General features: G+C 40.8%; 1 protein-coding gene and 1 pseudogene across 2 annotated transcripts in view, besides 1 other annotated feature; one reads left to right on the top strand and one right to left on the bottom strand.

Annotated features, from left to right (window-relative positions):
* Positions 1-15,949, top strand: part of GDI2 (GDP dissociation inhibitor 2) — a 48,212-nt gene that overhangs the window by 24,488 nt on the left and 7,775 nt on the right. For both annotated transcript variants that reach the window (NM_001115156.2, NM_001494.4), the window contains 3 exons: positions 2,897-3,095; positions 3,674-3,805; positions 15,006-15,105. In NM_001115156.2, the coding sequence (NP_001108628.1) occupies positions 2,897-3,095; positions 3,674-3,805; positions 15,006-15,105 (431 nt within the window). The remainder of the gene's footprint in view (positions 1-2,896; positions 3,096-3,673; positions 3,806-15,005; positions 15,106-15,949) is intronic.
* Positions 6,414-6,614: a silencer, noted in NCBI's record as "peak855 fragment used in MPRA reporter construct". NCBI's record gives its function as "represses an SCP1 promoter by STARR-seq MPRAs in K562 erythroleukemia cells {active_cell/tissue: K562}" and the evidence as "EXISTENCE:reporter gene assay evidence [ECO:0000049][PMID:32103011]".
* Positions 10,173-13,032, bottom strand: NRBF2P5 (nuclear receptor binding factor 2 pseudogene 5; annotated as a pseudogene).

Raw genomic sequence — 15,949 nt, 5'->3', positions numbered from 1 at the left:
AAAAATACAAAAAAAAATTAGCCAGGTCTGATGGTGCATGCCTTTAATCCTAGCTACTCGGGATGCTTAGGTGGGAGTATTGCTTGAACCTCAGGGGCAGAGGTTGCAGTGAGCCGAAATCGCGCCACTGCGCACTCTAGCCTGGGCGACAGAGTGAGACTCCTTTTAAAAAAAAAAAAACATGCAAACCTCCAAAAATTTTTTCAGTACATTTATTGACAAGAAAAAATCTACATCAAGCTTGTCCTGTCTGTGGCCTATGGGCTGCATGTGGTCCAGGGTAGCTTTGAATGCAGCCCAACAGAAATTTGTTAACTTTCTTAAAACATGAGATTTTTTTTCACAATTTTTTTAAAGCTCATTAGCTATCGTTAGTGTATTTTATGTGTGGCCCAAGGCAATTCTTTTTCTTCCAACGTGGCCCAGGGAAGCCAAAAAATTGGACACCTCTGATCTACATAAAAAGTGGCAGTTCAGATGTGTTATTCAAGGGACAACTGTAAATACAGAAAGGCATATCCCATGGTGATCCATTGCTGTGGGGGAAAGAGGAAGGAGGGAGTGTGAGAAGGACGCTTTAAATAAAGTGATCTGGGAAGGCATCAGCATAGATAAATAGTAGTTGTAAAAAATTATCTACCTAGTAGGGACTAGGTGCAGTGGCTCACACCTGTGATTCCACACTTTAGGAGCCTGGGAGTTTGAGACCAGCCTGGGCAACATGGCGAGACCTTGTTTCTATGGAAAAAAAAAAAACACAGTAGGAAACACGTTATTGATTTGAACTTTTTCAATTAGGAGTTTTTCAGAATGAGCACTGGGTGTTTGAAGTATTTGTAATACAATTATATCTGGTTCTCATGCTGTTAACAGCTAGTCATTGAGATCACTATTTGGCGCCATGCATAGCAACATGGAATTAAGGGATGGAAAAACAGCCAGGACGTCTCTACTGTGCTGTGTAAAACAGGAGTGGCACTGATTTCTATCCCTCTCTGGGTAAGGATCAGGTAATGGAGGAAAATAAAGGAGAGGAAAGAGAAGGAAACATGATAGATTTTTATTTTGATTAAAACAAAAGTTGGTAACAGCAACTCAGGTTTCTATTAAATAAACAAAAGTTGGGAGATACTCCAAAATAACTGTTAGTAATAGCTTTAAGTTCTGACAGGCTGTGCCGACCGGAATATGATACCTAAGTTTTAAGTGCATTGAAATAGTGATTCATGTTTCCTTTTGCCTGTCTTATACCCAGCTCTTACAACTACACTTGTGTCTTAAGTATAGTGCTGATGTGGTAATAGGATATTTCTATTCAGCCTTATGCCTTTACTGTGTGTACATTCTGTCCATTTAAAAGGCTGAATTGTAAATCTTAATTTTAAAAAATTAAATGTAGTCAGTTGTCATTAATAGCCTCATGTTTCTTTTTTTTTTTTGAGACGGAGTCTCACTCTTGTTGCCCAGGCTGGAGTACAATGGTGCAATCTCGGCTCAGTGCAATCTCTGACTCCTGGGTTTATCAAGCGATTCTCCTGCTCCAGCCTTCCAAGTAGTTGGGATTACAGGCGTGCGCCACCACACCCAGCTAATTTTGTATTTTTAGTAGAGATGGGGTTTCACCATGTTGGTCAGGCTGGTCTTGAACTCCTGACCTCAAGCGATCCACCCTCCTCAGCCTTCCAAAGTGCTGGGATTATAGGCGTGAGCCACTACGACCTGACCAGCCTCATGGTTTTAATTTTCAGTTTTGTTGGCTGGAAAATGATCTTGGATGTAATATTAAATCTATCAAAACATTAAGCTGTCAATAGAAACATTTGAGAGTTTGTTTTTAAAACTGTAGTTGTATTTTAAAAATAGCTGTACAGCTTAGGAATGGGGGGAGAAGGGAGATAAAATCAGAAAATTTTCTTTTTTGTTGGCTATTTGTCTATCATCTATGATTAGTTGAAATACAGCCTAGTAATAAAAGCTGAGGATTTATAAAGTGGTAATTTGTAGCTTCTTCATCTGTTTTTTAGTGTAAAATGCAGCGAATTGGTTGCTTATGTAGGACTTCAGTAAAATAAGTGACTAGCAGCAGTAGCAGCAGCATCGAAATTTTATCGAGGTCAATTTGTTCTTGTTATCTTAAGCTGTTATCATTAAGTGCCCGGTTGTATCTTAGCATACAGAGGCGGAAAAGCAAGAGCATTCAGAATTTAGGCAATTGGCTGAGTGTAGATCAGAGTTGTCAAAGGGAGACTCTTCAGATGGGTGGCTTCATGGATACTTGTTCAGAGTCACATTTACCTTGTACCTAGTAAGAAACATAATTTGACATTTTTCATTCAGTTAAGTAGTAGTTTTAATTACTTGTAATTGTATGGTAGAATTGAAGACTTTATAAGTAACCTGTTATAATCGTGTCAGTTTAAGGTGTTGTGAAACTGGAAGCCATGCTGTCCAAACTCCCATATCTTAAATTGCATCCTGCATTTTAGGCGCGGTGGCTCATGCCTGTAATCTCAGCACTTTGGGAGGCCGTGGTGGGCGGATCACCTGAGGTCAGGAGTTTGAGACCAGCCTAACATGGTGAAACCTTGTTTCTACCAAAAGTACAAAAATTAGCTGGGCGTAATGGCGGTTGCCTATAATCCCAGCTACTCGGGAGGCTGAGACAGGAGAATCGCTTGAACACGGGAGGCAGAGGTTGCAGTGAGCTGAGATTGCGTCATTGCACTCCAGTCTAGGCGACAGAGCAAGACTCTGTCTCAAAAAAAAAAAAAAAAAAAAAAATTGCATCCTGCATTCCGCAGTTGATAACAAGGCATGTTTAAACTTTGCTCTCATACTTCGTTCTCCTCAATGTCTGATTGTGAGTGTGCTTTTTGAAAAATTCTTTTTTATTTAGGCCTAATGGGATTGTTTGAAAAACGTCGCTTCAGGAAATTCCTAGTGTATGTTGCCAACTTCGATGAAAAAGATCCAAGAACTTTTGAAGGCATTGATCCTAAGAAGACCACAATGCGAGATGTGTATAAGAAATTTGATTTGGGTCAAGACGTTATAGATTTTACTGGTCATGCTCTTGCACTTTACAGAACTGATGAGTAAGTATTTTGGTTTTTAGATTTGTATTTTTCTTGAAATTCTCACTAAATTTCCCAAGTCTTCCAAGTGGAAATTCTAACAAAACAAATACTTAGCCATATTGCACTATGAATGAAGAGGTTCTAGTTGAAATTAGTGTTGGGACCTTTTAAGTGATTTAAATATAAAGGTAGTGGGCCAGGTGTGGTGGCTCACGCCTGTGATCCCAGCACTTTGGGAGGCCAAGTTGGGTGGATCATTTGAGGTCAGGAGTTCAAGACCAGCCTGGCCAACATGGTGAAACCCCCTCTCTACTAAAAATGCAAAAATTAGTTGGGCGGTAGTGGTGCGTCCCTGTAATTCCAGCCACTTGGGAGGCTGAGGCAGAAGAATCACTTGAGCCTGGGAGGTGGAAGTTGTGGGGAGCCGAGATTGCACCACTGCACTCCAGTCTGGGCGACAGAGTGAGACCCTGTCTCAAAAAACAAAAAAACAAAAAAGAAGATAGCGGATTGAAATCGCTTCAAAAAAAATTATAAATTGAACACCATGAATGAAAACTAAAGCCCTTTCCTAATACTCATTTCCTTTCTTCCAGTTACTTAGATCAACCGTGTTATGAAACCATTAATAGAATTAAACTTTACAGTGAATCTTTGGCAAGATATGGCAAAAGCCCATACCTTTATCCACTCTATGGCCTTGGAGAACTGCCCCAAGGATTTGCAAGGTAAGAGCCTGTGTTTAAAACCTCAGTGATCCAAAACCTCATCTTCAACATAATGTGTATATGAGATATAGTTTAAATAATGAGATGAGATCAGTCTATGAGTAATAAGATGCTTTTTATTTTTATTGAAATAAAATTAACATATAATGATATGCATGGATCTTCAGTTAAAAAAAATCCAGTTTTATACAACTGTAGCTGATGTGCTCTTGTAAGTGCCAACTCCTGGCTGGAGGCCAGCCAATACAAAACCAGCGCACTTAACAAAAATACAACCAAGGACCTTCACAGAATCTACTTCACACCCCTGTTACCTCCACCAGAGTAAGTGCTGGTATCCACGCCTGAGAGACCTGGAGACAGATCACATCACAGGACTCTTTGCAGACACTCTCCAGTACCAGCTTAGAGCCTGATTATCTCCACTGGGCGGCTAGATCAAGAAGAGAAATAACAATCACTGCAGTTTGGCTCTCAGGAAGCCCCATCCCTAGGGGAAAGGGGAGAGCACCACATCAAGGGAGCATCCCTGTGGGACAAAAGAATCTGAACAGCAGCCCTTGAGTTCCAGATCTTCCCTCTGACATAGTCTATCCAGATGAGAAGGAACTGGAAAAACAACTGGGGTAATATGACAAAACAGGGTTCTTTGACACTCTGAAAAGGTCACACTAGCTTACCAGCAATGGATCTAAACCAAGACAAAAATCTCTGAATTGCCAGAAAAAGAATTCACAAGGTCATTATTACGCCAATCAAGGAGGCACGAGAGAAAGGTGAAGTCCAACTTAGCAAAACAAAAAAAGTGATACAGGATATGAATGGAAAAATTTCCAGGAAAATAGCATAAATAAATAATCACAACTTCTGAAAATCAAGGGACACACTTAGAGACATGCAAAATGCACTGGAAAGTCTCAGCAATAGAATTGAATAAGTAGAAGAAAGAAATTTCAGAGTTCGAAGACAAGGCTTTTGAATTAGCCCAATCTGACAAAGACAAAAAAGAATTTAAAAAAATGAACGCAGCCTCCAATAAGTTTGTTAAACAACCAAGCCTAAGAATAATTGGTGTTCCCAAGGAAGAAGAAGAATCTAAAAGTTTGGAAAACAAATTTGAGGGATTAATTGAGGAAAACTTCCCCGGCCTTGCTAGAGATCTAGACATCCAAATACAAGAAGCTTAAAGAACACCTGGGAAATTCATCACAAAAAGATCATCACCTAGGCACATAGTCATCAGGTTAACTAAAGTCAAGATGAAGGAAAGAATCTTAAGAGCTGTGAGTCAAAAGCCTCAGGTAACCTATAAAGGAAAACCTATCAGATTAACAGATTTCTCAGCAGAAACTCTAAAAGCTAGAAGGGATTGGGATCCTATCTTGAGCCTCCTTAAGTTATCAGCCAGTAATTTTGTATCCAGTGAAACAGAGCTTCATAAATGAAGGAAAGTAGTCTTTTTCACACAAACAAGTGCTGAGAGAATTTGCCACTACCAAGCCAGCACTACAAGAACTGCTAAAAGGAGCTCCAAATCTTGAAACAAATTCTCAAAATACCAAAATTGTATCTCCTTAAAGCATAAATCACACAGGACCTATAAAACAATAACACAATGAAGAAAAAAAACAAGGTGTTCAGGCAAACAAATAGCACGATGAATAGAATAGTACCTCAAATCTCAATACTAATGTTGAATGTAAATGGCCTACATGCTCCACTTTAAAGATACAGAATAGCAGAATGGATAAGAACTCATCAACCAAGTATCTGCTGTCTTCAAGAGATTCACCAGACACAAAAGGACTCAAATTTAAGGTAAAGGGGTGGAAAAATATATTTCATGTAAATGGACACCAGAAGCGAGCAGAAGTAGCTATTCTTATATTTTTTATTTTATAACTATATATATTTTAAAAAAAATCAGTTTGATAAATTTATAGACCTATCCCTGTCCTGGGTTTAACTAAAACCTGAGTGAAGGTATAGAACATTTTCCTCACCCCATAAAGTTCCCTTGTGTCACCTCATAATGAATACTGCCCCCCATCCCCAGCAACCACCTCTGTGATTTCTGTCACTATAGATTACTTTTGCTTGTTTTCAAAGTTCATGTAAAAGGAATAATACAATATGTTCTCATTTGTGTCTTTTTCATTTTTTGAGATTCATCCATATTGATGCATGTGTCAGTAATTCTTTTTTTTGGAGATGGAGTTCCACTCTTGTTGCCCAGGCTGGAGTGCTGTGGTGCAGTCTCAGCTCACTGCAACCTCCACCCCCTGGGTTCCAGTGATTCTCCTGCCTCAGCCTCCCAAGGAGCTGGGATTACAGGCATGCACCACCACATCCGGCTAATTTTTTATATTTAGTAGTGATGGGGTTTCACCATGTTGGTCAGTCTGGTCTTGAACTCCTGACCTCAAGTGATCCACCCACCTTGGCCTCCCAATGTGCTGGGATTACAGGTGTGAGCCATTGTGCCTGGCCAATTCTTTTTTTTTAATTGTTGAGTAGAATTCCTTTGTATGAATTATATGAGCATATAATTCTCCTTTTGGTGGACATCTAGTTAGTTTTCAGTTTTTGGCTATTATGAATGAAGGCACTGTGAAATTTTTATGTAAAACACTTTCTGTGGGGATATAGGTTTTCATTTCCTTTTGGGTAAATACTGGGAGTGAAATTGCTGACTAATGTGGCAGATAGAAGTCTGAATTCATAAGAAACTGTAAAACAGTGTTCTGGAGTGGTTGTGTCATTGTGTATACACTCAGCAGTGTATGAGAGTTCTCGTTGCTCCACATCCTTGTCAACATTTAGTATTGTAAGTTTTTAATTTTAATTGCCCAAGTGGGTGTGAAATGCTATCTCATTATGGTTTTAATTTGTATTTCTTGACTCATGTTGCTCACCTTTTCATGAGCTTATTGACCATTTGTATAATTTTGTGCTGTGATTGTTCAAGTCTTTTGCACATTTCTAAAGATTGGATTGTCTTTCTGTTTTTGACTTGTAGGAGATCTTGGTGTATGATGGTGGCAAGTCTTTTGTCATATATGTATTAAGAATATTTTCTCCCAGTTTATGGCTGGTCTTTTGATAAGCATAAGTGTTAACTTTTTTTTTGAGATAGAGTCTTGCTCTGTTGCCCAGGCTAGACTGCACTGGCATGATCTTGGCTCACTACAACCTCTGCCTCCCAGGTTCAAGCAATTCTCATGCCTCAGCCTCCCGAGTAGCTGGGACTACAGGCATGTGCCACCACGCCTGGCTAATTTTTGTATTTTGGGTAGACGGGGTTTTGCCGTTATTGAACAGGCTGGTCTCTAACTCCTGACCTCAAGTGATCCACCTGCCTTGGCTTCCCAAAGTGCTGGGATTACAGGCAGGAGCCACAGTGCCTGGCCTAGAAGTGTTACATTTTGATGAAGTCCAGTATATCAAAGAAAAAATTTTTTTAATGTTTATAGCTTTTTGGGTCCTATTTTAGAAGTCTTTTTTTTTTTTTTTTTTGGAGACAGAGTCTGGGTGTTTTGCCCAGGCCGGATTGCAGTGGCACTGTCTCGGCTCACTGCAAGCTCTGCCTCCTGGGTTCACGCCATTCTCCTGCCTCAGCCTCCTGAGTAGCTGGGACTACAGGCGCCTGCCACCGCGCCCGGCTAATTTTTTGTATTTTTAGTAGAGACGGGGTTTCACTGTTAGCCGGGATGGTGTCGATCTGCTGACTTCATGATCCGCCTGCCTTGGCCTCCCAAAGTGCTGGGATTACAAGCGTGAGCCACTGCGCCTGGCCCTATTTTAGAAGTCTTTTACTTGCCCCCAAGGGCACAGAAATACTCTCCTATTGTCTTTTTTTTTTTTTTTTTAGAAGTTTTATAATTTTATCTGTGCATTTAAATCTGATTCATCTTGAGACAGTGTTGGTGTGTGGGATGAGGTAAGACTTGAGGTTCTTTTTTTTTTTTACATACGAATATTTAGTTGTTTTAGCTGCATTTGTTGGAAAGACTTCCTTTTCTAGGTAGTCGTGGTGCCTTTGTGGGAGATCAGTTGGCTACATATGAGTTTGTTTTGGGACTCAGTTTTGTTTCAGTGATTTGTATTTCCTATGCCAGTACTACACTGTCTGGATAATTATAGTTTTATATTAAGTCTTGAAGTAGGTGATAACACTTTCGCCAACTTTTTCTTCAGAATTTGTTTTGGGTGTTCGCATTTCCATATACGTTTTTAAAATCAGGTTGTCAATTTCTAGAAAACATGCTTGTTGGGATTTTGATATTGAGTTAAATTTGTAGATGAGTTTGGAGAAAATGATCATCTTAATTATGCTGAGTCTGCCAGTCCATAAATATGATTGTTCTCCATGTGGTTTTCTTCTCAGCAGTGTTTTACAGCTTTCACTGTAGAGATCTATCACATTTTTGTTCAATCTCTTTGTACTGATGCCGCTGTTAATGTATTTTGTATTGATGCTGCTGTTAATGAAATTGTCTTAATTTTATGTTGAAATTGTTTGCTGCTGGTATACAGAAATGTAATTGTATGTTGACGTTGTATCCTATGATCTTGTACTTAAGTTTTACTAGTTCACTTACTAGTTTTTCTAGTTTTATATATTTCTTAGAATTATCCTTCTACACAGTCATGTCATCTGTGAATAAAGAGATTCTTCTTTTATAACTTTTATGTGTTTTTCCCCCACTTACCTTTATTGCACTTGTTAGGACTTCCTGATAATGTCGCAGGGATGAGAATGGACGTCCTTGCTTTGTTCCCAGTTTTACGGGGAATCTAGTAAATATTTTACTATTAAATATGTTTTCTATAGTTTTTTTTTTTTTTGTAGATGGTTTTGTCACATTAAGTTCACTTATATTTATAGTTTGGTCTGTTTTTTTGTTTGTTTGTTTGTTTGTTTTTTTTTTTGGAGACACGATCTTACTCTGTCACCCATGCTAGAGTGCAGTGGCATGATCTTGGCTCATTGCAACCTCTGCCTCCTGGGCTAAAGGGATCTTCCCATCTCAGCCTCTTGAGTAGTAGGGACTACAGGCATGCACCACCCCACCTGGCTAACTTTTGTATTTTGGTAGAGATGGAGTCTCACCATGTTGCCCAGGCTGGTGTTGAACTTCTGGGCTTAAGTGAGCATGGTGGCTCATGCCTGTAATTGCAGCACTTTGGGAGGGTGAGGTGGGTGGATCGCTTGAAGCCCAGGAGTTGGAGACCAGCCTAGGCAACCTGGTGAAACCCTGTCTCTAGAAAAACACAAAAAATTAGCTGGGTGTGGTGATGCATGCCTGTAGTCCCAGCTATTCGGGAGGCTGAGTGGGAGGATCCCTTGAGCCTGAGAGGTTGAGACTGCAGTGAGCCGTGATCATACCACTGCATTTCAGTGTGGGTGACAGAGCAGGACCCTGTCTCTTACAAAAAAAAAAAAAGCATCAAACTTTTTTTTTTCCCCCTCTCTGTGCTTCATATCGGAGAATGCCTGTTCATGTGGCTTCAAGTTTACTGACCTTTTCTGCTATTTTCAATAGGCTGTTAATCTCATTCAGTGAATTTTAATTTTTTTATACTGTCTAGATCTAGAGTTCTCATTTTCTATAGTTTTATTTTTTCTTATTTTTTTTTTTTCGAGACGGAGTCACCCAGGCTGAAGTGCAGTGGCGCGATCTCAGCTCACTGCAACCTCTGCCTCCCGGGTTCAAGCGATTCTCCTGCCTCAGCCTCCCAAGTAGCTGGGATTACAGGCACATGCCACCACACTCGGGTGATTTTTGTATTTTTAGTAGAGATGGGGTTTCACCATGTTGGCCAGGATGGTCTCATCTCCTGACCTTGTGATCCGCCCGCCTCAGCCTCCCAAACTGCTGCTTTACAGGCATGAGTCACCGTTCCCGGCCTATAGTTTTCATTTTTGTGATATTCTCTATTTACTTGACTGTTTTGAGTACATTTATAACAACATATTTATCCTTGAATATGTATCTTTGAACAAGGATATTTGTTCTGGAACATATTCTTGAACATATAATATCCTTGAACGTATTTATAATAGCTGCTTTTAAACTGCGTATTTTAACATTTGGGCATCTGTTTCTGTTGTTTGTTTTTCTGTTTTCTTTGGATCACAGTTTTCTGTTTCTTCCCATGTCTAGTAATGTTGGATTGTATACTGGACACATGAATTGATAGTTTGTTGAGATGCCGGATTCTTCCTCTGAAAAGTTGGTTTTGGTTTGAGTAGGCAGTTACATTTTTTTATTGACTGTTCATCTTGCATTTGTGGAGACTGGATTTTACACCTTGTTAAAGTGGGTCCTTTTAGTTTTTCCTTTTGTTGTTTGCTGATTTGTTTTAAATCACAATTTATTGATTTCTTACAATCAAATACTGCCAACTAGCATTACTTCCACTCATGCATCATTAAAAGCAAAGGATATTTCCTCCTTGGTATTTTTAAATGGTACATTATACAATAAACAAAGTTAGAACTTAAAATGCACCCTTATTAATTATGTAAACTGGTAATTTGTTTAAAAAAGCATAACTAATAATTTGGTTCCTTTCTTCATAAAATGGAAATTTAAATATTTCTCCTGATAGTCTTGAGGTGATCATTAGTAGTGCAAAGTGTGGCACACACGTATAGTTTCATCTAGAAAGGTGTGTCTCTTACACAACTTATTTAAACAAAATGCACATTAACAAAATGCATATAGTCAATGCATGAAAGAAAGCATGTTTCAATTACAAGGCAGCCCCTCGGGCCACCATATTATTTAAGTTTTGCATGATCATTTATGGCATTATAGATTAATTATGCATAACATACTTTTATACTTTTTTTTAAATTATACTTTAAGTTCTGGGGTACATGTGCAGAACGTGCAGGTTTGTTACATAGGTATACATGTGCCATGGTGTTTTGCTGTGCTCATCAACCCATCATCTACATTAGGTACTTCTAGTGCTATCCCTCCCTAGCCCCCATCCCCTGACAGGCCCCGGTGTGTGATGTTCCTCTCCCTGTGTCCATGTGTTGTCATTGTTCAACTCCCACTTATGAGTGAGAACATGCGGTATTTGGTTTTCTGTTCCTGTGTTAGTTAACTGAGAATGATGGTTTCCAGCTTCATCCATGTCCCTGCAAAGGACATGAACTCATCCTTTTTTATGGCTGCATAGTATTCCATGGTGTATATGTGCCACATTTTCTTTATCCCGTCTACCATTGATGGATATTTGGGTTGGTTCCAAGTCTTTGCTATTGTGAACAGTGCTGCAGTAAACATAAGTGTGCATGTGTCCTTATAGTAGCATGATTTATAATCCTTTGGGTATATACCCAGTAATGGGATTGCTGGGTCAGATGGTATTTCTGGTTCTAGATCCTTGAGGAATCACCACACTGTCTTCCACAGTGGTTGAACTAATTTACACTCCCACCAACAGCGTAAAAGTATTCCTATTTCTCCACATCCTCTCCAGCATCTGCTGTTTCCTGGCTTTTTAACGATCACCATTCCAGCTGGCGTGAGACGGTTTCTCACATGGTTTTGTGGTTTTGATTTGTATTTCTCTAATGACCAGTGATGATGAGCTTTTTTTCATGTTTCTTGGCTGCATAAATGTTTTCTTTTGAGAAATGACTGTGTTGAGATGGAGTCTCACTCTGTCACCCAGGCTGGAGTTGGAATGGCATGATCTTGGCTCACTGCAGCCTCCGCCTCCTGGGTTCAAGCGATTCTCTCACTTCAGCCTCCTGAGTAGCTGGGATTTCAGGCACCTGCCATCATGCCCGGCTAATTTTTGTATTTTTTGTGGAGATAGTGTTTCACCATGTTGGCCAGGCTGGTCTTGAACTCCTGACCTCAGGTGATCCACCCGCCTCGGCCTTTCAAAGTGCTGGGATTACAGGCATGAGCCACCGTGCCTGGCATAACTTTTATGCATTTTAACCCTGAAGACAAGACAAGTAATTGTTGCTTGAAAAAATTATTCTATGTAGCCATTTGGTTTGTATCTGGAGAAACTGAACCTCCATGAATTTAGTGTGTACTAAGTTGGAATCATTAGCTCGAGTCAGTGAATCAGATACATTTCACAGTGACTGTTTGCCAAGTCCTGGCAATGCCTCTTCTCCCACAGTCTGCCAGATGAAGCATTTCCGGGATTACCCTTCTATGTGGTTTTCCCTTTTAATTTTTTTGCTGGATTAACTGTTTTCGCATTATTTCCTCTTCTCCCCTCTTCTCTGGCCTTCCATTTTAATTATTCATAAATCCTTTCAGAATATCCTCAGCTCCATAAGGGGAAGTTCTGGAGATGGAAAATCCAAGGGAGGAAGATTGGGGATTGGAATGTCCTTGGCTTTCCTGGTATTTGCTGCAAACTTCTGCCAGGTTAAAGAGGCTGTAGCAGTTTCTGAATGTGGCGGCAAGCTCCATAACTCTGACTTTTCTACAAAATCAGCATCTACATCCAGCTCCTTTTCTATTGGACCATTTAGAAGTCTGCCCTTTTCAGCCTTGAGTTGTTTATTTTCTTTCCTTAATCTTTCATTCTCAGCCACAAGGAATTCCACATGCCTCTTCAAATCTGCTTCTCTATAATTGTTTTATCTTTCGGGCCTTTGCTTCTAATACATGGCTCTGCTGGCTCACTCTTTTGCTAAAGTAAAAATAGTAGCGTGTCTGGATCCCTGTCAAAGATCCCTTGAATCTCAGGCAGGCATTTCTCTGTGAAAGGGCTGTGCTTCTGAGAAAGGGGGCTCTGGCTCTCTGCATCCTCAGCAGAGGGTTTGTGAGATGGGCAGCTACATCCTATGTTCTGCTGGGCTTTCAGTCTTTTCACGCTGGGCCCTTTTCCACCTGTCTTGGATGAGGAGGCGCTGTTTCCTATTCCTTTGCAATTCCAGTGAAAAATGAGCCTGCTCAGACTGTCAGCTTCACGGCTTCTGAAGGATATGCCGCAGCCTTTTTGTGACAAGAAATAGCTTCTTTGTAGTTGCTGATAAATGGTCTGTTCATCTGCTCTGTTGATGAGCCAGGTTGAGGGATCCATTATTTTCATAGACTCCGGGGTAAGTGGCAGCCTTAGGAAGGGGAGCAGTGGCGCAGGGGAACATGGAGGGGACTGCAGGGAAGCGCGATGCAGCCGCAGGGACTGTGGCCCCTCTCTGCGTTCAAGAGCCAGCAGCGGGGCGCAGAGGGAGCAACAACCTCACCACTTCCTCCTCCAGCACTGCTCCACGGGCCTGCCACCTGCGCTGCTGCTGCTGCCACGCACGGTGCCATGACGTCACACGCGCAAGTGGCCTCTGCTTATTCTTAAACGTTACTCCTCTGGAGTAAGCAAGCTCCTTTGAACATGGCAATTTTAAACTTCAGACACATTTTTTCTTCTGTCCTTCCTCTATAATCTCTGCTAACCTCTTTGAGCCTTTCAGCTGTTTATTTCTGGTGGATTCCTTCGCTTTTCCCTCCTGTGTGAGCACTTCTGGAGGTAGTTAAGGATTTGAAGATATTTTATCATAGATTTGTTGGCTCCTTCTTTTGAGGCTCCCTCTTTTGTGAAACTTTCCCCTACAATTTTCATCTCCTCTGGCCGCCCCAAATTCTGTCACATCTCAAATCAATAGGACTGCAGGCATTGTGCTTCTGTTGTAGCTGTACCATGTTGCAAGGACTAGGGAAGTTGCTGCCTGAGGGGAAAACCATATAAACTACATAAAGCTCTCACCCACTTGGTTCCTTTCAAGAGTTTCTTCAGTCTCTGGTTTTTGCTGCTTTAAGTCATTCTCCAGTGCTGCCTTTCCCCCCACTTTATTACTATCTTTTTTTGAGACAGCATTTTGCTTTGTTACCCGGGCTGGAGTGCAGTGGTGTGATCACGACTTACTGCAGCCTCGACCTCTCAGGCTCAAGTGATGCTGCCACTTCAGCATTCCGGGTAGCTGGGACTACAGATGAGTGCCACCATGCCTGGTTAATTTTTCTATTTGTTGTAGAAACAGGGTTTCAGCATGTTGCCAAGGCTGGTCTTAAACTCCTGCGTTCAAGCCATCTGCTGGCCTCGGCTTCCCAAAGTGGTGGCATTAGGCGTGAACCACTGCCTTCAGTTCCTTCTGATAGTGTTTTAAGTCCATAGTTTTATTTATATGCCAGAGGATTAGACTAATATAGCTATTACTGGTCAACCCTTCCCTTGGCCTTGCCCTTGCCCTTGCCCTTCCCCTTCCCCTGGGTGTGAATCCAGAGAAATGGCAGATTTGCCTCTGATGTGGATAGTCCCGCGACTGCACAAGGCCATTTTAGAACACACACACAAGGAAAAACAGGAGAATAGACAGTGTGGGGTTTTGGGAAAGAGCCGATTTTAGTTGAAGAAGCAGAGTAAAACCCAGACATCGCATGGCTTTAGGCTTTAGCCTCACCACACTCACGAGCCTCCTGTCCAGGAGGGCCATTAGTGTCTCAGGTCTGCTCAGTGTGGACCCCGAAGAGCCATCCATCAGGGTGAGCGAGGAGGGATAAGCTATGGATGCAGAGCCGCTGCGGCCGAGAGGAACTGTTCCGGTGATTGGTTAGCAAGCGGGAGAGTGGAAAGGGGAGAAGAAAACCGTGTATGGGGGTTGAACGCCTCCAGCCAAAGAAAATGAGGTGTAGAGGTCTCTTACTACTAGGGAATGTATCCGAGTCACACAGCACCAAATGTGTTGCTGGTGGAAGGTAGCCGAGTCACAGGCACCAAAATATGTTACCGTGCTGAGATGAATCCGTACGGGTCTGCAGCAACCTCAGTTCTTTTCTCCTCAGAAGAAAGAATGACCAAGGGGCATAAGGTAGAAGGAGAGACTGAGGCAAGTTTTAGAGCAGGAGTGGACGTTTATTGAAAAGCTTTAGGGCAGGAATGAAAGGAAGGAAAGAAAGTACACTTGGAGGAGGGCCGAGTGGGCAGCTCGAAAGACAAGTGCCTGGTTAGTGATTTTTTTTGACTTCGTATTTATAACTGATTATGTTTGTGTTTTTGACTCTGTTTTCTTGCTTTAATCACTTCTAAGCTGACATCTTTCTAGAAGGAAATTGAACAAATGTATATTGTCTGTAACTCATTAAGATCTAAGAAAGGGGACTTTAGGAGTTGAAACAACTATATATTATTAATTGGGATTTTAAAAATTTTCCAGGCTAAGTGCTATTTATGGAGGTACCTATATGCTGAATAAACCCATTGAAGAAATCATTGTACAGAATGGAAAAGTAATTGGTGTAAAATCTGAAGGAGAAGTAAGTAGCTTTTAAAATGAAAAAAATTACTATGTTCTTGTGAAGAAAGTTGTGTATTCTAAATATTGATTTTGGTGTGGACACTGATGCATATGATTTCTGTATGGGAAGTTAGTATTTATTGTGACTAAGGACTAATTACAGTTGCTGTGCTTTGTTTTAAAAGCATCTTTTTTGTTGTCAGTTGTTGATTATTTTAATATTGAAATATGCATTATGGGTGAGCTCTAAATAGTAAGTATTCTGTATTTATAGAGTTTGGGTTGTGCCTGTCTCCCAAATTTTCATTGAAATTGAACTGTACTTGCAGGCCACCTACACGGGTGGGGTTTTGAGCAGCATTTCTCAAATGTGAATTATATATAAAGCATCATTAATCTGGTTCTAGTGCATGTTCTAATCAGTAGGTCTGAGAAGGCTCTGCATTTTCTTGAAACCTCTTAGGTGATGTGGATGCTACTGAAAAAAAAAATCACAAGGAAAAAAAGATCGTTTCCCTTTATCACCATATGAATTAATTCTTCTGCCATTTGACACTGTTACTATCTGCAACAGTTCTTGCAGTAGAGGATGCACTTCAAAGTGCACTGCTTTACTGTCTCACTGGAATTCTAAAAATCTAAGCTTTATCTTTTTAACATTAAGCTGTGTGGGAATGTAGCAACCTCCTGGGTGGTGGGGTGGGGGGCATCTTCAGTTATTTAGGTCTCACTGGAAAGTTTGAGATCAGAGTTTGGTAGGTGGTGTAAGGGGACAATGAGTAAGGGAGAGAAAATACAGGACTGACTTGGGGCAAAAAACGCCTGATAATAATTTGTGAAGCACATTTTCAAACTCATTTATT

The sequence above is a fragment of the Homo sapiens genome, chromosome 10, assembly GCF_000001405.40.
Source record: "Homo sapiens chromosome 10, GRCh38.p14 Primary Assembly".
Classification (NCBI taxonomy): Eukaryota; Metazoa; Chordata; class Mammalia; order Primates; family Hominidae; genus Homo; species Homo sapiens.
This window is presented reverse-complemented; position numbering and strand designations above follow the sequence as displayed.